Here is a 22,837-nt window from a genome sequence, read left to right on the forward strand (position 1 = left end):
TCTTCTCTCCTCCCTGTATACTGTCCCCTAGACATCCTGTCCATTCACGGGGTTCCAACACATCACTCCTGCAGAGATGAAACTTCGGCATTGACTCATATCTTATATCTCCCACCAGGATTAATATTGGAGCCTCCTAATGTTACTGAGCAAGGGCTCACTGCCCAAAGAGCATAGAAGCCAGTACCATGTCACTAGCTTTTGAGAAAAACAGCTTTATTGCAAGTCAACTGGCAAGGAAACAGAAGGAAATGCTCAAATCTGTCTCCCTGAGCTGGGGACTGGGGCAGGTTTCATAGACAGAGTAATGAGGTGTGAATGAGGTAATGCTGGGAGGCGTGATCTGACTGGATTATGCCACGGGATGATGTCAGGGCTCAATCTGATTGGATCATGTGTTGTCTGCTTGTTAATTCCGTCCCTGTTTCTTGGACTAAGCCATTAGGTTCCACTCACGATTGTGTACTTCGTTCATCTGGGCATGCTCAAATTACCTAACTTGCAACCTAGGGTCTATGGCAACTGAAAAATGACTCATTCCTTTGTTACATAAAAGTTGAACCAGATTGGTCTGGTTTCACGGTTACACTAATTGGTCTTCCTATCTCCCAGCCTGCTGCAGACTTACACATACAACTCATTCCAATTCATACTCTTTAGCATCCCCGGAGTTTTTTCTGAACACACGTATGATGATCTGTCATTCTCATGCTTAAAAACTCTTGATTCACTCTCATGATCAGAATAAAACTAATGTTTTTAGTGTGTCATACAAGAATCCTTATAGTCAAGTTTTAGCTTATCTTTCCAACTTCAATTTTTATCATTCACTTATTCATTCAATTATAGTCATACTGAACTTTTTTCTTTCCCCTTATACTATGCATTTTTAGTTTCTTTAAACAGTATTTTTAGGCTGGGTGCGGTGGCTCACACCTGTAATCTCAACACTTCGGGAGGCCTTGGTGGAAGGATTGCTTGAGGCTATGAGTTTGAGACCAGCCTGGGCAACATAGTGACACTCCATCTCTACCAAAAAAAAAAAAAAAAAAGAAATTTTTTTTAATTCACCAGGAATGGTGGTGTATGCTATAGTCCTAGCCACTTGGGAGGCTGAGGCAGGAGGATTCTTTGAGTCTAGGAGTTCAAAGCTGTCAAAGCTGCAGTGAACTATGATTGTGTCACTACACTCCAGCCTGGGCGACACAAAGGACACTGTCTCAAAAAACAAAACAAACAAACAAAAAACAGTAAAACAAACAAAACCATATTCTGTTTTATTCCCCTTGACAATTTAGAGTCTGAAAGGTCTAGGGTCAAATCTTGTATCTACTACCTACAAGCTATGCAAGCTGATACATATTACTCTGAATTTCTGTCTTTACACTTTCTAATTTGTAAGTGGGCTATAATATAGTTATCTGATATATGTATAATAATATTTTATAAATAATACTATACAATAAAATAAGAATAATATAAGCCAACCACATCTACTTGTGGATCTATATGAACCTTTCTTTTTTTTTTTTTTTTTGAGATGGAATCTTGCTCTGTCACCCAGGCTGGAGTGCAGTGGCGTGATCTCGGCTCACTGCAACCTCCACCTCCGGGGTTCCAGTGATTCTCCTGCCTCAGCCTCCTGAGTAGCTGGGACTACAGGTGTACACCACCACGCCTGGCTAATTTTTGTATTTTTTAGTAGAGATGGGGTTTCACCATATTGGCCAGGCTGGTCTCAAACTCCTGACCTCATGATCCGCCCACCTTGGCCTCCCAAAGTGCTCGGATTACAGGCATGAGCCACCACGCTCGGCCCTATGTGATCCTTTCTATACTTTTGTATTTCCTGCAATTCAATGTGGGAGTTTTGTTATGCAGAATTCTCAAGGATGTTTACTATAATTGTGCCATAAGAAATCTATGTAAGCTCTACCTCCTCCCAGGAAGCAGGGTAAATTAAGTAACTAGCATTTATTGACAAGGAAATATGAGTTAATATTTTAAAATAAAGTCTTGATTAATTCTTACAGATATTAATATAATTTATAAAATAGCACATCTGCTTCAAAAGAGTAACTTGTTCAACAGTTGCAACTATTTAAGTGTCAGAGCAAGGATTTTAATGTAGGTCTAAATCTGAAATAGCCTTTACTTTTAAAATATTGCATATGCCTTCTCTACAATGTAGAGGTAGACACTAGATATAAGAGGAAATAGAATGAAGTTTAACAAGGTTATTTAAAAAAAAGCGTGATAAGAAGAAACAAAACACAACAAGAAAGAATGTTGGGACCAATTTAAATGGAGATTATCTGATCTATTGTATGTTGAGCTATTTCTTTGGAATCATTAAAAGTACTTATAAAGTGACTTTTATTTTCTAAAAGAAAAACTTAGCACATAGTAAATGTTCAATAAATGGTAGAAATTCTTATTAAGCCCTTATGTCTTTATAAAATTTTTCTGTCAAAAATTCCTTCTTTTTCCTTACATCTTCCCCAATGTGTTTCTTCTAGAAACTCTCTGATTTCCTTTAGACAAAGCTGAGTTAATTCGCCTCTGTCACATATACTGTTAATGCACTGAAGACAATGTAATTGTATTTTATATACATATCACGTGAATGTAAGGACAACTTTTCCATTTATGTTCATATTCCTGGGCTAGCACTCATGAACACTCAATAAATATTTTAATGAATGATTAATTCCTAAATCACTACCTCTAGCAGTAACCTCTCAACCAACTGTGAATTTTATGTTTCCAACTGCCTCCAAGACGTTTCTGCTTAGGCAGCAAGGTATCTGTGTAGCACAATGCTCCCAAACTATAATGTATGAAATAACCTTTATGAAGGATGCCTCACTCTCCCTACTAACAGTAACAGTAAACATGGCAAATACAATTGAGACTGGTAAGCAATTTCCCATAAAAATGTTCCTGGATTTGCAAATATGTTTTTCTCAAGAGTCCCCCAAATTTTAACCCCAAAAGCCCCCAGAAATGTTACCCAAAATGTGTGCCCAAAGATGTTTACCCCTCTGCTAATAAGCATATATTGTTTGTGAGGGTTTGTTTGCATACACTGAGATGAGTAACTCACCCAGAAGGGATTAACACCCTATATATCCCAAAGTTGTAAACAACTTACATTACCCATTATGTGAGAGTACTTTGAGTATAGCCAATCAAAGCATGAATGATGCAACTGAGAGTCAATACAAAAGTCCACACCTGGTTAAACAGGGATCTAGGATCATGGTCTGTCAGAAGTGTCCTGAGATGGTTAACTGAGGGTCACATACAGACCAGAAGACAACTCTAACTCTGTGGCATGCCTGCATGATGACATTCTGAACCCCAGGTTTACCTAGAATAGTGCACGAACAAATTCATTGTTCCAATGACCAAATTTGGACAGTTTTTCTCTTATTATTTACCTTTCTTTTTTTTTTTTGTTTGAGACGGAGTCTTGCTCTGTCGCCCAGGCTGGAGTGCAGTGGCACGATCTTGGCTCACTGCAAGCTCCATCTCCCAGGTTCAAGCCATTCTCCTGCCTCAACCTCCCGAGTAGCTGGGAATACAGGCACCTGCCACCACATCCGGCTAATATTTTGTATTTTTAGTAGAGACGGGGTTTCACCATGTTAGCCAGGATGGTCTCGATCCCCTGACCTCGTGATCTGCCCACCTCAGACTCCCAAAGTGCTGGGATTACAGGCGTGAGCCACCACGCCTGGCCTTACCTTTCTTTTTGACTTAATTTTTCACTGATTTAATTTTACATTCCATCCGAGAACATTTGATATACTGGGTCCTGAAGACAGAATTGTGATTGAGCTGCTGCTCTCTAGTTGGTGCTGGCCCAGTAGATAAGACAGAGAAGTAAACAGACAATCATAAAATGAAATTTCATTCGATGTACTTCACTATGTGATAATGCCACACTTTGATCATTGCTATCATAAAAGTATTCAACCACTCTCCAAATTATTCCTTGGAAATACGTTTTTTTACTCATCCTCTATGGTTAATTCGTATTTCCGTTGTCACTGCTACTGCCCTTGTTACTTATTCCTTTTTCTTATTCCCATCTTTCATTGGCATATTCATTTAATCAATGAATATTTATTAATGTATACTAAAACCCAAGAGTATAACAATGAGCTAGGTACTGCCCTCTAGGAGCTCCTGCTCTTTCAGACAGACAAGTAAATCAACAGCTATGGAACAAAAAGTGCCATGCAAAGGGCTTTACTATGTTATAATCTTATTCTGATATATACTATCATAGAAGTGTTCAACAAGTCTCCTAATCTTTGTTTTTTTTTTTTTTTAGATGGAGTCTCCCTCTGTCACCCAGGCTGGAGTGCAATGGCGTGATCTCAGCTCACTGCAGTCTCTGCCTCCTGGGTTCAAGCAATTGTCCTGCCTCAGCCTCCCAAGTAGCTGGGATTACAGGCACACACCACCATGCCTGGCTAATTTTTGTATTTTTAGTAGAGGCAGGGTTTCACCATGTTGGCCAGGATGATCTCAAACTCCTGACCTCAGGTGATTCACCCGCCTTGGCCTCCCAAAGTGCTGGGATTACAGGCATGAGCCAAGTCTCCTAATCCTGGTAATTCTTCATTGGAAAAATTCTTACTCAAACTTTGGTTCAATTCCCATTTTCACTGCTACTGCCATGAGCCTAGCCAAGCCCTTACTTCTAAATTGTTATCATAAAAGCCACCTCACTGTTCTCAAATTCCATGCTCACTTCCGAATCCTCCTTTACATATACTAATAAGTACTGGATTTACAGTGGTGACCAAAACTGAGTCCTTATCCTTAGAGACATTGTCACCCTATGAAAATTAAATAAAGAATTTACAAATAAATATATAATTATATATTGCTATTATTGCTATGAAGAAAAAGAACAAAATTCTCTGAGAAAGAATACATGGGAATCCAAATACAAAAGAGTTAGGAAAGTGCTTTCTGGGGAAATGACAATAGAAAATGACAAAGTGGTATCAGAAAACTGAATAGGAGTTAACAAGGTGAAAATTAGGGGGAAAGGCATTAAAAAACAAATGTATTAACTTACATAAAGGCCCTGAGGCAGGAAAGTTTGGTGTATTGGAGAAAAAGAAAGAAGCCAATCTGACAAACATTGAGTGTGATTAAAGAAACAGTGTTGATGGCAGTGATAGTCATCATATAGTCAGCTGGAATGCCCCTTCTCTTCCTTGATGGCAACCTTCAAGTTCAAGGTCAAATAGTATCATGATACAGCCTAACATATGACATTCACCAGGGTTTGGCATGTTTCCTACACTTTATCTCGTTTCCTTTTCACAATGGGTATTGAGACATGGATTAATTTTAATATGTTTATTTGAGTCATAAGGCAAGAAATTATTGGGGAAATAATCAGAATGAAAGTGTTTTGTTTCAGGTATCTCTCTTTTTCCAAAAATTTTAATAAACAGACATAATAAAATTAATTAAGTATGAAACAACATATGATTAAAATATTTCTTTCTCAATGCTGACCTTTCTGGTTCCCCACATCCCTGTCCCAAAGGCAATAATATTAACAATTTTTTTATGTATCCTTTCAGAAATTTTCTATTTACAGTCAACTCTCTATATCTTGGGCATTGGTTCTAGGAACCTCTCCACATGAACTGATGTCTGTGCTGTGGAGACAAAAGTCACTCCATCTTGGATACTAATCTATCGTGTTGACTTTGGATTAGCCCAAGTTTCATGAATACTTCCTGATTCCTATTTTATTTTCCATCCTTAGTGTAAGAACTTGTACTCACTATAAATTCTGCCTTTGTGATATTATCATACAAGTTATAGGCTATGATGAATATAGCATTCTTTTCTGTTCCAGAAGGTTGCCTTTAATTGTCTTGCACAGAGGACATACACCCTTTCCCTATGGTATATAAGCCCTTGGTCTGAGGGTAACAGGTGCAGAGATCTACCTGTTTTGCTGCTGCCCAAGACCATACTTCCATCCATAAGTTCCCCAATAACCCTCCCCTTACTGACAAACTGGATTCGTCTGCCTTGTTCTTTGGTTTCTCGGCTCTTTCTGCACATTTGGGGGTTGTTTTCCATATTGTGCCTAATAGAACTCAAGTGATAGAACAAATAATGCACAATATAGCACTTATGCTGTATTAGATTTGGCTTCTGCCTTCTTTAGCATCCCTTTAGCCCTGACTCACAGGCATTATATTGATGACTATGCTAACCCCTGAAGACTTGTCATTGCTACAGCAACACCTGGATGCACTGTGTACCATTCTCCAATGGATAGGATAGGTCATCAACCTGCAAAAGATACAAGGCCCATGGCTGGCTGTAAAGTTCCCAGGGGTCACTTGGTTGGGTAATACACATCTTATCCCAGGCACACTTACCTTGGGTAAGACACATCTTATCCCAGGCATAGTCATTGACAAAATACCACAGTATTCCACATCTAAGACAGTTAAACAGTTACAAATTTCCTAGGTCTTTTTGGATATTTACTTCACATTTAACGCAACGTTTGTGTCCCCTATGCCAACTAGTAAAGAAGGAATCTAGTTTGTGCTGAGATAAAAAAGAAGAGGATGCACATTAGAAGGCTAAAATACTAGTGGCTCAGGCACAAGGCTTAGGGTCCCCCCTTCCTGGGATACCAATATCTTTGGATGTGGCCATAATCCCTGAGGGACCAGTTGGGCCCTCTGCAAGTCCAGCATGGGACAACGGTTCCCTTAGGATTCTGGTCACAACAACGAAAGGATGCTGAAACCTAACTATTCCCTGATGAAACAACCAGTCCTGGGGGTAGACAAAGCTTTATGACAAATTGAACCCGTAACTGTCGCTTTGCTGGTAACAGTAAGAAGAGTTTTCCCTACTAAACGCTGAACAGAAGTGTTGTTTGCTAGGTATGTATCAGCTATTGGTCAAGCCTCCAGTTTACAAAACTGGGATGCATATCTGCAACCTGTAGTGGCTTCTCCACAAGTCCCTTGGGAAATGAACTACATGCCATCTTAGGGCCAGTATACTATGAAGCCTGTGCTGCCCTTCTTGTGAAGCCTCCACAGGAGATACCTCCAATGGTAGCCAAAGGCATGGCCCCCCTTTCCTGAAAACATTTGGTACTCAGATGGGTACAGCTGAGGTAACCCTTGTGTATGGACAGAAGTCGCTGTACAACCACAGACAGATGCTATCTGGTTTGAGATGGGACTGCAGCAAAGCAGACAACGGGCAGAATTGTCTATATGAGCTATATGGTTGATTTGTACCCATGAGCCATGGCCTACAGTTATCTGTACAGACAGTTGTATAAAAATATACAATTTTTAATCAATCCCCTATTGATGGAATTAAGGTAATTTTCCCATTCTTTTGCTGTTAAAAATTGTAGTCCAATAAAAAACAATCATAATTTTTCCTCGCTCTAAAATTGTGATTCTGCCTGAATCACTATTTCTATCTCGTGCTGCTCACTAACCATTTCAAAATCTTAGGGCTTCAATTCATTTGATCAACATTTGGACAAAAAATTATATCTCATACATTTTTCTTAACCATGACCAGCCTAAGATTAGCCAAAAAAAACCCCCAAATTTTATACTAAAGGAAGTCTACTTGATTGAGTCCTTTCTGTCAGCAGTTTCCTGTTTCTCATCTCAAATTTTGTTTATAATGACTAGTCTTATGTACTTAATCATTCATTTGTTCAACACCTGAATTCTGCCATTCAAATGTATGCTTTATGAGCAGAGAGACTTCACATGTTTTGTTCATTTCTCTATCTCAGGGTCTAGAGCAATGCCTGGCATGTAGCAATTACTCAATACATATTTGTTAAATAAATGAAAAATTATTGCCATATGATAGGTTATAGTAATATAATGTTAATGTGAGATTTTATATATATATGTTGTAACATAATATATTAATATGATTGCTAATATATGTCATCTCATCACACCAATCCTATAAAATAAGCCTTATGATCTTTGTCTAAGCCATATGGAAACTGAAACTCAGGAAGTTTGATAAATCACTAAATACCTAAAGTCAGTGAGTTTGAGAGCTGGTTTTAAACTTAGATCACTAAGAATCCAAAAGTTTTGTGCTTTACTTTGCACAACCCTATATCCCTAGAGTATGGTTTTTCTTTTTGAATTCATCCTTTTGACATCCAATATTTCTTTGGGCCCCAAAGAACAATAGATTCAAGAAAGGTCAGGTCCTCCTGAGGAAGGGAAAGAAGAGGAGCTTCGGTGAGCCCAGAAACATCAGGGAGGTGGCCGGTGGGGATAGAGGTGCCAGCCCTTCAGCTGTCCCTGAGGACAAAAGAGGCACGACTGGGAATAATTTTCTGAAAGCCAGGACAGGGAGCATGGCCAACCCTCCTACTGTGCTCACTCACCTCTAACATGCCACTAACACACAAGGCAGCAGTGAGCAGGCTACAGCTTCAGCCATTATTAGCTCAGCTGGAACAAGGAATAGGACTTCGCTGATTTCTCTTTTGGCTTTGCTGAAACAAAGAGAAAGCTCTTTGATTACATTTATGAAACATGTGCATGAAGGGCATGCATGAAGCATGGAAGTCAGGCAGAGCTGAACAAGGCACATGTTCTTGTTCGACACGGGTAAGGCTTTTTGCCAAGGACCTAATTTACCAGGGGCCACTCTCCAGCTTCAGTTGCTCAACTGGACAAGGTTTGAGCAGGGTTTGTGGGATACTTAATTTTATTCCTCTGCTCACACTAGGAAGATCTTATCAGTTCCTCTCTTCTCTAGGTCTGTTTTCTTTGCCTGTATTATAAGGTAAGTGAGATCTAAGGCTGCAGAAGAAATAAATGACTCAGGATTTTTTTCCTAACTCTATCCTGTAAAGCTTTCCAGGTTAGAAAAATTTCAGTAGCCGGAGCTTCCATAGGACATACACCTCTTCCAGGTCTTGATTTTCCTCTGATTAATTCAGGGAAGACTTACCTCACTAGAACATTCATGAGGCAGAGGACATCAGGAGACACTACTTCTTTAGGGAAGTTTTATGGTTACAGAAGGCCTAGGAGAGTGGGTTTCTATTCCAGGGACAGTTGCTCAGATGATTAGCAAATAGCTGCTCCTGGGGAAGTTCTAGAGGAACTGTCAAGGAGCCTGGGGGCTGGCTATGGGCCATCAGCTTCTTCAATGTCTCCCACACTGGAGACAGGTCACCAGCTCTTCTTCCCCAGTAGGTTCCAGAAGTTCTATAGGAACCTCAGCAAGCCCTTTCATCTCTGCCATTCGTCCTCCACAATCCTCTCCACCAGCATCACACACAACACAGTTGTCATAAAATGGAGCTTCTAGTGAAAGTGGATTTTTGTTTGTTTGTTTGTCTGTTTGTTTGTGAGATAGAGTCTCACTCTGTCGCCCAGGCTGGAGTGCAGTGGTGCGTTCTCAGCTCACTGCAACCTCCGCCTCCTGGGCTTAAGCAATTCTCCTGTCTCAGTCTCCCAAGTAACTGGGTTTACAGGTGCTCGCCACCATGCCTGGCTAATTTTTGTATTTTTAATAGAGACAGGGTTCACCATGTTGTCCAGGCTGGTCTTGAACTCCTGACCTCAGGTGATCCGCCTGCCTCAGCCTCCCAAAGTGCTGGGATTACAGGTGTGAGACACCGCACTTGGCCTGAAAGTCATTTTAGTAGGATGTAGTTGGATATGAAATCCAATGGAAACTTAGGAATAACGAACTCCCTGATATTCATGTATTTATTCTTACACTCATTCATCCAAAAATACACATAAATTGCTTAATATGGACAGGCATTGGGCTTATTCCTATAAATAAAATAAGCAGTTTCAGGTCTGAAGGAGTTTACAGATTAAATTTAAATATCAATAGATAACTAAAATACAACTGAATAACTAAAGAATTTTAAAAGCATACAGGAATAACCCTATCTGGAACCATCACAGGGGAGACACGTTTTAGTTTTTAAGATGAGAAGGAAGAAGTCAGCCAGGTGGAGGAGGGGGCACATGCAACCACAGGTGATGTCATGAGCAAAGGTATAGGCAGGGATTAGCAAACTACAACTCATGGGCCAAATCTGTCCAGCCCTGTTTTATATGGCCCACAAGCTAAAGATGACTTTTCACTTTTAAAATTGTCAAAAATGTAAAAAGAGTGATAGTTTATAGCATTATAAAATTATATAAAATTTTAATAAAATTTTGATGTCTATAAAGTTTTATTAGAACTCAGCCATGCACATTTGCTTAGGTATTGGATATGTTTATATACCTAATTATATATTTGTATACCTACATTGTATATGTTAGGTATCATATATGTTATTTATTTATTTATTTATGTGTGTGTGTGTGTGTTTGTCTAGGTATTGAATAGTTATGACAGAGATCACATGGTCCACAAGCATGAAATATTTTATGTCTGGCCTTTTACAGAAAAAGTTTTCCAACTCCTGGTATAGAATCATGAAAAGAAGTAATGTGTTCAATAACAAACAAATATGTTTATCCTCAGCATTGGTGAAGATTAAGGTACCTGGATGACAAAGGGACAAAAAAATGAGACCTAAGGAATATGTTGTATTCATATTGCATATCTTTCTAAAAACCCAGGTGTTGCCTTTATTATATTTTTTCTGATTATGGTTTTGAATGCAGACTCTGCCTTTTACTGCCCATGTAAACAAGTTACCAAATTCTTTAACTAACAAATTACATAATGTATCTAAAGTTCAGTTCATCGAGTGGCAATAAGGGGAGAATAATAATAGCGTCTAGATTGGACAGTTATTGTAAGAAGAATGTGAAAAAGGAAAAAGTAACATACGTAGCATAATTCTATTATATATTAGGCAAATGCTTCCAACTTGAGGTCATAATTTTTATTTTTATTATTACTGCTTTTATTACTGCTATATAATATGTGTAGCTCATTTTAGAATGCTTGAAAACCCAGAAAGCAAAATTAAGGAGATAGTCCCATCTCTCTTCCTACCACTTCAAAGTGACTATTCCTAAAAATTTGCATATTGCTATGCACATATTGATGAGTTTGGAATTTTACATGTAATCATATGTATTTTTGTGTTTTTTTCCATTTACTATTACCTGGTGAGTATTATTCAATAGTGGTAATGTTCTTTAAAAATGACTTATATGATTACATGACATTTCCTTAAATGCTTGGGTCATAATTGACCCAATCATTTGTAGATTATTGACACAATTTTGATACTATAATGATGCAACATTGAACACACTTATATGTGAAATCATTGTGCCTTTTGCTTGTGCATATGTGTGTGTGTGTAAAGAACACTTAAAACATGGATCTACTCACTTCAAAAAATTTTGAGTACACAGTACTGTATTGTTAACTATAGGTACCATGTTGCACAGCAGACCTCTAGAACTTATTCATCTTGCCCAACCGAAACTTTACACCCTTGGAAAGCAACTCCTGACTTTTACCCTCTCCCCAGAACCTAATATACACCACTGTACATTCTGTTTCTGTAAGATGGATTATTTTAGATACCTCATATAAGTGGAATCATGCACTGTCCTTCAATGACTGGCTTGTTTCACCTAGTATAATCTTCTCCACACTTATCCCTGTTGTTGCATACAGCAGGCTTTCTTCTTTTAAGGCTAAATAATATTCCATTGTAGTTATATACCACATTTTCTTTATTCACTAATCTGTCAGTGAATGTTTAGGTTGTTTTAATATCTTGGCTATTGTGAACAATGTTGCAGTGAGCATGGGAGTGCACATATCACTTCAAAATCCTGATATCAGTTCCTTTGGATATATTTCTAAAAGCAGGATTGTTGGATGTATTTTTAATTTCTGGAGGATCCTCCATAGTTTTTTCTGCAGTGGCTGCAACATGTTACATTCCCACCAACAGTGCACAAGGGTTCCAATGTCTCTACATCCTCGCTAAGACTTGCTTTGTTTTGTTTCTTTGTTTTTGTCTGTTGGGTTTATTTATTTGATAATAGCCATCCTGACAGGTGTGAGGTGATAACTCACTCTGGTTCTGCTTGGCATTTCCCTGATGACTACTGATGTGGAGCATCTTTTCATTGCCTGTTGGCCATTTGTATGTCTTCTTAAAGAAATATCAATTCAAGTCTGTTGTCCATTTTAAAATCAGCTTACTTATTTTCTTGGCTACTGAGTTGTAGGCATTTATTATATATTTGGGGTATTAATCTCTTATCAGATATATGGTTTGCAAATATTTACTTACATTCTGTAGGTTGTCTCTTCACTCTATTGACTTTGCTGCGTAGAAGCTTTTTAGCTTGTTGTCCCGCTTGCTAAATTTTGCTTTTATTGCTTGTGATTTTGGTGCCATATCCAAAAAATCGTTGCCAGACCCAATGTCATAAGGCTATTTCTCTATGTTTTTTTCCAGGGGTTTTGTAGTTTCAGTTTTCTGTTTTGTTTTGTTTTTGAGATTAAGTTTCATTCTTGCTGCCCAGGCTGGAGTTCAATGGGGCAATCTCGGCTCACCGCAACCTCCACCTCCCAGGTTCAAGTGATTCTCCTGGCTCAGCCTCCCAAATAGCTGGGATTACAGGCATGTGCTACCACACCTGGCTAATTTTTGTCTTTTTAGGAAAGATAGGGTTTCGCCATATTGGCCAGGCTGGTCTTGAACTCCTGGCCTTGGTGATCTGCCCACCTTGGCCTCCCAAAGAGCTGGGTAGCTTCAGTTCTTATATTTAAATTTTTAATTCATTTTGAGTTGATTATTGTGTGTGGTATAATAAAAGCTAAAAGAAAATTTCATGATTTTGCATATGAATATTCAGTTTTCCCAAAATCATTTGTTGAAGAGATTATCCTTTTCTCTATTATGTGTTCTTGGCACACTTGTTGAATATTGGTTGACTATATATGTGTGAATTTATTTCTGGTTTCTCTGTTCCACTGGTCTATGTCGGCTTTTATGCCCCCTCTACCTAAATTTCTACTCTTTGAAAATCTGTAGGAATCTTTTGCCATATATCTTAAGACATTTTCGTATTTTAATTTAATTTTTTTAAATTTTGGATTTTTATGTTTAAAATCATTTAATTTTTATTTGGGCTAATCAATCATCTTTTTTCTTTTCTTTTCTTTTTCAATCATCTTTTTTCTTCAGGAATTTTGTTTTGGTATACTGCTTAGAAAGACCACAAACATATGTAATAAAATATAAACATATTTTCTTCACACTCAACTAAAGCTTAATTTCAACATTTAAATCATCATCTATATTGAATGTAATTCTTTATGATAAAAGGTGAGAGTTTAACTGGGCTTGTTTTTGCATTGCCCCAGAGCTCTTTATTGTAGTTTTCTTGTATGTACACTATTTCTGGCCTTCATTATGTTTCCATGACTTGTCTAATACAAATATAATATACTTAAAGTATGTGTAGAGATACTATGTAATATTTTCATGTTATAAATAATGTAATAAAATATTAAAAAGTTACAAAGTATTTTAACATATGGTCACAAACAGGAACTTTTAAATTTTGGAATTACTTTAAATATTTTTAATAATTTGACAAAAATTTTTATGTTTATAAAACTATTTCTGTAGTCATAAACACAGTATGACACTAAATTTGTTCAAGATTAGATTATGACATTTCATAAGGGCTTTGATTATTTTAAATAGGATACTAATTATTTCCTGATATGTTTATTTCAAAATTTTTGAATTTTATTGATAACATGAAATTTATTTTTTGACTGTTTTTTCCTTGTATATAAGAAAAATATTCATTCTTAAAATACGTTGTATTACTTGAACAACTTAGTTTTCTGTCATTGAACAACTTTTCTTCTGAAAGTAATAATTCTGTATTCCTTTTTTCTTTCTTTTTTTTTTTTTGGAGATGGAGTCTCACTCTGTCGCCCAGGCTGGAGTGCAGTGGCGCGATCTCGGTTCACTGCAACCTCCATCTCCTGGATTCAAGCAATTCTCTTGCCTCAGCCTCCCGAGTAGCTGGGACTGCAAGCTCATGCTGCCACACCCGGTTATTTTTTTTTTCTGTATTTTTAGTAGAGATGGGGTTTCACTGTGTTGCCCAGGCTCGTTTTCAACTCCTGAGCTCAGGCAATCCGCCCGCCTCGGCCTCCCAAAGTGCTAGTATTACAGGCGTGAGCCACCATACCCAGCACCCCTGTTTTCTTTTCCAATGTTTATACCTTGTTTATTATTATTATTACTTTGGCCAGAATTTTTAAACCAATAGTGGGATTAAAATTTCAACAATATCTATGATCTTCAGAATATCCATAAATGCCCAAAAATTATATGTAAAATTTTGTACATATGGATATATGTACATTTGGGAGGAGAAAGAGTTCATGACTGTTGTCAGATTGTAAAAGGGTTCCATAATCCCCCAATTCTCAGAACCATTGCTCTATTATTATACTACTAATCTCAGAACTGGCTATTGTTTATATAATATTCACGTTTCATTAAGAGAGTGGTTTTCTCTTCAAAAGTTATAAAACTTTGCTGTGCTGGATTTTTTTTTACAGATAAGTGTTGAACTTTCAAACAGTTTTAGGATTTACTGAGGTTAACTTTTTTTTATTGAAATGATGATATAAATTATATTTGATTATTTCTTAATCACAAACAGTATTTGCATTCCTGTAATAAATCCTACTTGGCCATACATATATAGTTTTGGATTTAAAATGACTGCATTTTATTTCTCAATTTTGCACTTATATTTACAAGTCAGATTGGTCTTTGAGCTTTTTTGTGTGTGTATTATATTTGCTGCTTTGAAAACAGGTATAGGTAATTGTCATAATATTAATCGGAAAACACTGCATCTTCTTCTTTGTTCTGAAACAGTTCATCTAAAGATAAATCACAAGATTTACCTGTTCCCTGAAGGAATAAATTACCTCATCCATTAAACTATCCATGTTAATGACCTTTTTCATTGTAATCTTTTGATAAAATTACTTCAAACCACTCATTTTTTATCTGTTTTATTCAAGGCTGAACCTTACATACTACTAGAAAGCATTTCATTTTAAAAATCAGACATTTATTAATATAGTAGTATTTGCTTATAATTTTAAAAGTTTCATTCCGTATCTGAGATTGACATAATTTATTCCTAAATTACATATTTTTGTTTCCTCCATTATTTCTTCATCAGATTTTCCAACAATTTATGTTTACTTAATTTTTTTTTTTTTTTTTTTTGAGACAGAGTCTCGCTCTGTCGCCCAGGCTGGAGTGCAGTGGCACCATCTCGGTTCACTGCAACCTCTGCCTCCCAGGTTCAAGTGATTCTCCTGCCTCAGCCTCCTGGGTAGCTGGGATTACAGGTGTGTGCCACCATGCCGGCTAATTTTTTGTATTTTTAGTAGAGACGGGGTTTCACCGTGTTAGCCAGGATGGTCTGGATCTCCTGACCTTGTGATCTGCCCGTCTTGGCCTCCCAAAGTGCTGGGATGACAGGCGTGAGCCACCGTGCCAGGCCACTTAAAGTTTTCTCTACCCTCAAAATTAAAAGGAAACTAGAACAGTGATTAAGATATTATTGAGCATATTTCCATAAATTTTGTTGTATAGTAAGAAATACTTTAAGTTTAAAATTATTAGCTCAATAATTTTTATTTTTTGCTAGCATTTTGTCTATCATTTCTCTACTTTGATCTGCCATTCTATGTTCCTAGAAATTTATCTATTTTTATTTCCTGAATTTTTTATTTACTCTATAATTTTTATCATTTCATAGTATTCCTCAATTTCTCAAACATTCTCTTAATTCAGTTTCCTTCAGTATCCAGGACTGTTTTTCACAGTCTTAATTTCCTAATGAATTGTTTTATTTCCAGGTGTATTTTTCTTACAATATATTGAACATATTTATGACTACCTATTCAACAGTATTTTGTTTTATGCTGTTGGTAGTACAGATAACAGATGTTTACATGTTTTTCCTATTACTTACTTTTTTTTTCAGAAGAGGGCCATCTCCTTTGATATCTTAGATATGTCCCATTAGTTTAAATTGTTACATTCCTATCTCCCATGACTTTACCGTTTATTCTGAAGTACAAAAGTCTAGATCGTCTTATAATAAAACAGCAGTTTCTAATTGATATACTGTGTTTACTAATATCATTGATCCTTTTGTTTTATTCAAAATTTTATAGGTTTCTTTGTGTGTGTGTGTGTGCATGCCTGTGTGTGAGAGACAGAGGGAGAAAGAGAGAGAGCTTGAGCATTACACTTGCTAAAATCTCCAATATTTTCCTCAAAATTATAAATTTTGGTTTTTTACTTGTTAGTGCCACAGAGCAGTCCAATTTCAGTGTGATATGTATTATTTTAAGAAATATTTTTTTCTGCATAGATTCTGCAATGTTTTGAATATATTCTTGGAAACCAAACTGTTCATGGGGGCACACTGGTTGTTAGTCATTCTTTGATTTTGCCTGTTGCTTCATGAGTTCTTGCTATTATCTAATTGATTTCTCTTTGCTTAGTAACATCTTCATTATCTTTCTTACTATTTATTATTCCAGCTCCATTTGTTTGGCTCACTTTTTCAGGGACATTAATTATTTGTTAGACTGTTTTCTGCTTTTAATTTTTAATTTTTATCTTATATTCATCTATTTCCCCATTTTCTGCATCTTATAGGAGAGCACTTCAAGCCTTTCCATGTAAGTTTTCTATTTTAGGCAGAGTCAGAGTCAAATCCATTCTTTACTGTTTTCAGTAAAAGTTTTGTTTCTGCTATTGCAGTTCAGTTTCATTACAATACTTTCATAATTACATATAGCATCCTGTTTATGCCTATTTTTTAAAGGACTGCCCAAAATCTAATTTTATTTTTGCATTCTTTATAAAAAAAAGCAACTGATAATCATTTTCCTCTTAACTTTGATGACCATATTTTCAGGAACTACTGAAAGACTTCAAGTATGTTGTTTGTAAGGAATAGTTTATAATTACTGAATTTTACATTTTTGCTTAACATACAAAATTTCTGCTTAATGTATTAAGCATATTTTTGCTTAATATGTTTTGTAAACTATAGTTAACTCTCAGAATGTCTAAAGCAAGCTACCTTTATTTTCATTAATAAAAATGAGTAATTTAAAACTCCATGCACATGTAACATTTTAAATACCCAACTTCCTTAACATAAGGTAAAACAGTCTCAGGCAGGCTGCCACTGGTTTTTTTTTTTTTTTTTTTAAATTAGAGGCAGGGTCTCACCATGTTGCCCAGGTTGATCTCGAACTCCTGGGCTCAAGCAATCCTCCCATCTCAGCCTCCCAAAATGTTGAGATTACAAGTGTGAGCCACCACTCCTGGCCTGGGAAATTTTTTTAAATGTATGTGGTAATACACAGTATAGATCACATTTAGTATATGGCCAAGTTAATTAAGAAGTCAAAAAACACATTAAATTTAAGAACAAATAGACTGGTTGTGGTGGCTCACGACTGTAATCCCAGCACTTTGGGAGGCCAAGGCAAGTGGACCACCCGAAGCCAGGAGTTCTAGACTAGCCTGGCCAACATGGCAAAACTTTGTCTCTATTAAAAATACAAAAAGTAGTTAGGCATGGTGGGGCGCCCGTGATCCCAGCTACCTGGGAGGCTGAGGCATGAGATTGCTTAAACTTGGTGGGCAGAGGTTGCAGTGAGCTGAGATTGCGCCACTGCTCTCCCCCCTGGGCAACAGACCGAGTCTCTGTCTCAAAAAAAAAAAAAGTACAAATAGTTATTTGAAAAACTTCTGACATTTATTTACTTCTGGACAAACAAATAAGTGGGAAGAGCTGTCAGTATAAACCTCTTTTAATTTTAGTCTTTATCATTAAAATTGCCTGAGTTCTTAGAACACAGAACAAACAAATTTGAATGCATTTGTGACAGTTTAATAATTTGTATGTCTCATTATGATCTTTTAATAGGAAGTTTTAAAGCCAAAGCATAATTTACTGCAAAGATAAATTAGAAAAGGCAAATAAACTTTTTAATAATATGTTATAGTGACCTGGACAAAACTGATTATTAACTAGTAATACAATAATTAGAATATGCAACCGATTGAGAAATTAAATCCTGTGCTATATACTCGTAAGTATTTTGTCAGACATGATATATATTTAAATGTTTCTATCAATTGCATTCCTTTTGCTGCATATATCAGTTTTTATTTAAAACAAGAAAACAATTCTCTTTCCTCCAGATTCTCATGTTAATCAGTGCAAAATATTGCAATTTTAGTAAAAATTGTTTATTACAATGTTATTTTAGAACGGCTTATTCCTTAAACTATCGAAAATGTACTTAAAAAATCCAAATTATGAGAATGATCAACTTCAATGGCTTCCTCGACATCCAGCTTGGCTTCTCCATGTCCTTCCTGTGACTTATCAAGAGAGGCCAGGGCCTCATTTTTGTCACTTGTAAAAGTTTCTCATGATATATCATCATCTTGAAAATTTAGACTTTTAATAGCTTATTTCATTTTTTCATTGTGTTCTCTTCCTAGCAGCTTTTTAATTTTCATATTCCTTTTGATTTTCTATGTAGAAAACATCCTTAATTTGTTCCTTGCTGATACTAGGAGTGTTTTTCAAGAGATTCAGAAAATCTCCACCTGGTGTTCTCTTCAACTACTATTCATTATAAAGAGGCCACCATTTTGTTCTACTTCAGCAGTTTCCAGCAGAACAATTGCCTTTTGTTCCCAATAATCCTCACTGCTTGAGCCATCGGATCTTTCTTTGGTTCCTGTAACCTGAATAACATTTCATCAGCCACTTTCTCTTGGGAATCTTCCTCTGTGATCTCGTATCAACCTTTATAGTTCATTTTTGGTTCTGGTCTGTTCCCTAGCCTGTCTTTGACAGGTCATTTCCTTTTGAGATGACCTTGCCCCTTTTCCTCTTCCTTTGATCCCATTTTTTTGTTTGTTTGTTTTTGCCACCATGCATATATTCAGCTAGTTGTTTGTCTAGCCCTTTCGTATGCTCTAGAGATTCCCTCTTAAGTTTCTTAGCAAGCAAACAATCATAGGTCTCGGATTGTCTGCTTCTGTCAATAGTGCCCTCCATTCCCAAGATACCAAGTTCAGTGGCCACTGCATCTTAATTCTGTTCCTGCAGTACAGCACCCCATATGTTGTTAACCTTCTTTCCTCCAGAAACAGGTGGTTTCTGACTGCTCTGGCCAAACTGAAAAGACTCTGGTTTGGGAGGAGAGTTTACATATTTCCATCACTTCCACTTCCAAAGACAGCTATCATCATCTGAATCAGAAAAACTCTCTTCACTTGAATCCACACTTTCAACAACTCGGTAATGTGATACTGGTGCACATGCAGTCGCCCTGCTCTGGAAGGCCCTTATAAGCACTGTCCCCACCTAGCACTTTCCACACTTGCTGCAGCCTGTTGCTGGGTGTGACCATTATGTCGGAATCTGAGTCAGGTTGGAAAGCTGCCCATCTTCCATGTCGCTGGCCTCCAACACCATCTTCCCGTGGTGCCTATGCCTATATTTTAGCCAACATTATTTTCATCTCTGTTGCCTAGAAAGCCTTTAAAGATGATGTTATGTGTCCCTGTGCCCCTTTAAGGTACTATGTATTTTTGTATTTTGACTTTCATTGTGATGTGTTATAATTGATTATTTAAATATTTTATCTATTAAATTCTAAGCTTCAGTGAATAATCATTGTATCATCAGTGCTGCCATAGAAATTGAATAAATACAGACTTTCCTTTTATATCATTTAAGATTCTATCTCGTTTCATAACTTTTTATCCATGAATGTTTTCCTTTGAAACTTCACTCTAATGTTTCTTATATTTTTTATAGTTTTTTTTTGTGGGAGTCTGTTTTATTTTTTCCAATTTTCCTGTTCTTGAAAGGGAAGTAGTCAGAATCTCCTTGGACACAGTCACTTTCCACAGAATTGTAGTACAATACTCCTCTCCGATCTTAATTTTGAGAGTCAGTGGATTATGCAGGTACTAAGAATCAGTTGCCAATTATAGATATGCTGGACCAAAGAGGAAACTGCTAACATTGTTTCCCACAGTCTGATTTGGCAAGAAAGAATAAGTATTACGTGATTTGAAGTGGTCTACAATTCTTACGGTGAGTGAGGGGGAAAGTGCATTAAAACAACCACACCCTATAAACATTCTCACTCATCCATTCCCCTCTATTATTTCTACTTTGAATAACTTCAAAATAAAATACGATACAAGATCAGATTTGTTTTAGTAAATAGGCTAACAAGATATAAAATGGAACGTAAAAGAGAGGAGAAAGGTGACCTATTGCTCATTTCACTGCTTAGGTTCTGACCACGTTTTATTGTGTCTTTATTCTTAGCCAACACAAGACCCTTCCTCTTCCAGCTGAGGTGCTGACCTTGCCTCTATCCCTGACATTAAGAGAAAATCTGAAAAACAGATTGAGAATCTGACTTCCAATCAAGAATCTCTCTCCAGGACCACAGCTGGGGATTTATGCCCATACTTATGGCTATAGGAAACTGGACAGAAATAAGTGAATTTATCCTCATGAGCTTCTCTTCCCTACCTACTGAAATACAGTCATTGCTCTTCCTGACATTTCTAACTATCTATTTGGTTACTCTGAAGGGAAACAGCCTCATCATTCTGGTTACCCTAGCTGACCCCATGCTACACAGCCCCATGTACTTCTTCCTCAGAAACTTATCTTTCCTGGAGATTGGCTTCAACCTAGTCATTGTGCCCAAAATGCTGGGGACCCTGCTTGCCCAGGACACAACCATCTCCTTCCTTGGCTGTGCCACTCAGATGTATTTCTTCTTCTTCTTTGGGGTAGCTGAATGCTTCCTCCTGGCTACCATGGCATATGACCGCTATGTGGCCATCTGCAGTCCCTTGCACTACCCAGTCATCATGAACCAAAGGACACGGGCCAAACTGGCTGCTGCTTCCTGGTTCCCAGGCTTTCCTGTAGCTACTGTGCAGACCACATGGCTCTTCAGTTTTCCATTCTGTGGCACCAACAAGGTGAACCACTTCTTCTGTGACAGCCCGCCTGTGCTGAAGCTGGTCTGTGCAGACACAGCACTGTTTGAGATCTACGCCATCGTCGGAACCATTCTGGTGGTCATGATCCCCTGCTTGCTGATCTTGTGTTCCTATACTCGCATTGCTGCTGCTATCCTCAAGATCCCATCAGCTAAAGGGAAGCATAAAGCCTTCTCTACGTGCTCCTCACACCTCCTTGTTGTCTCTCTTTTCTATATATCTTCTAGCCTCACCTACTTCTGGCCTAAATCAAATAATTCTCCTGAGAGCAAGAAGTTGTTATCATTATCCTACACTGTTGTGACTCCCATGTTGAACCCCATTATCTACAGCTTGAGAAATAGCGAGGTGAAGAATGCCCTCAGCAGGACCTTCCACAAGGTCCTAGCCCTCAGAAACTGTATCCCATAGACCTTAGGAAGTAAGGCTAAATTCTATTGAATGACAATTAGTTTCATGTTTGGGACACCTCTCTGCCTCTCTTCACATATCTGTTGGAATGAAACCCAGCTATTGAAATGGCTATTGGAAAGCTCTGTGGAGAGAAGAGAGCCCAGTGTTGGTGTAAACCTGTCATTATCATCTGCTAAATTTCTTTACCTGCCCATCGTAGACTTACTCTGTTTTTCTTATTGGTGCAATTGGCACTTTGAGACTTCTGTGGCCAAACCATTCGAGATATTTACTTTGCTAATGAGCACAAATGTGACATATATTGTGGACAATCTGAAACTACTTGTAATATGACTTTGGGGATACACAATGGGCAAGACAATGAGAAGTATCAAATGTCATCTTGGCCATCATCTTGGTTTGGAAAATTCTGACACCATTCAGTAGAAAACCCTATAATACTTCTAGTACATAATTCTTGCTCTTCATTTCATTTTACATGCCCCTAAGGAAGTGTTGGCTTTTATGTTTGTTGATATTTAGCATGGATAGAGAAAATAGGATCACTAATCCCCATACATATTCCTTTATAAGCCCAATAGCCTTAAAAGACTCCTTCCTTAGGCTATTCTTCCTAGGTAGAATAAGCTATTTCCAATTGTCTCTTGCAAATTCAGTTTCAGGTTCTTAATCCTTGTTAAAGTAATTTCAAAATTTCACAAACATAATTTCAATCATAATGCTGCTTTTTTCAAGGCTTACAGTGGATCTTAGCTGACTCCTAATATTTGCTTAGTGCCTTTAAATTTTAAGTTTTTATATATTGTTGATATGAAAATACAAAATATCATAAAGCACAATCATTGCCATCAGAAGTTAATAATTTAGTCAACAATGGGGGATTTGTAAAAGCAAATTCATTTTACAATTAAGCAAAGTAAGATTCAAGTTCTTCCTCCCCAGAAGCCAAGCAGATGCCAGTGCCATGCTTTAATAGCCATCAGAACCATGAGTCAATGAAATCCTTTTTCTTTATAAATTGCCCACTGTCAGGGATTTCTTTATAGCAACGCAAGAATGGCCTAACAGAAAATTGGTACTGGCAGTGGGGCATTGCTATAAAGATACCTGAAAATATGGAAGTAACTTTGGAACTGGGTAACGGGAAGAGGTTGGGAAGTTTGGGGGGGCTCAAAAAAGACAGAAAGATGAGGGAAAGTTTGGAACTTTAGAGACCACTTAAATGGTGGTGACCAAAATGCCAATAGTGATATGGATGGTGAA

The 22,837-nt window shown here is 37.3% G+C and overlaps 1 protein-coding gene and 1 pseudogene across 1 annotated transcript; one reads left to right on the forward strand and one right to left on the reverse strand.

Moving 5' to 3' along the window:
- Positions 18,219–19,614, reverse strand: LOC100131597 (phosphorylated adaptor for RNA export pseudogene; annotated as a pseudogene).
- OR10A5 (olfactory receptor family 10 subfamily A member 5) lies at positions 20,618–21,571 on the forward strand. Its single transcript, NM_178168.1, has one exon. The coding sequence runs from the start codon at positions 20,618–20,620 to the stop codon at positions 21,569–21,571; it is 954 nt and encodes a 317-aa protein (NP_835462.1).
- Positions 21,572–22,837: the final 1,266 nt, after the last annotated feature.

Source organism: Homo sapiens, chromosome 11 (assembly GCF_000001405.40).
Source record: "Homo sapiens chromosome 11, GRCh38.p14 Primary Assembly".
NCBI classification, from domain to species: Eukaryota; Metazoa; Chordata; class Mammalia; order Primates; family Hominidae; genus Homo; species Homo sapiens.

Bases quoted from the DNA above. Each gene is read 5' to 3' on its own strand.
- OR10A5 (NM_178168.1), top strand. From the start codon at position 20,618: ATGGCTATAGGAAACTGGACAGAAATAAGTGAATTTATCCTCATGAGC.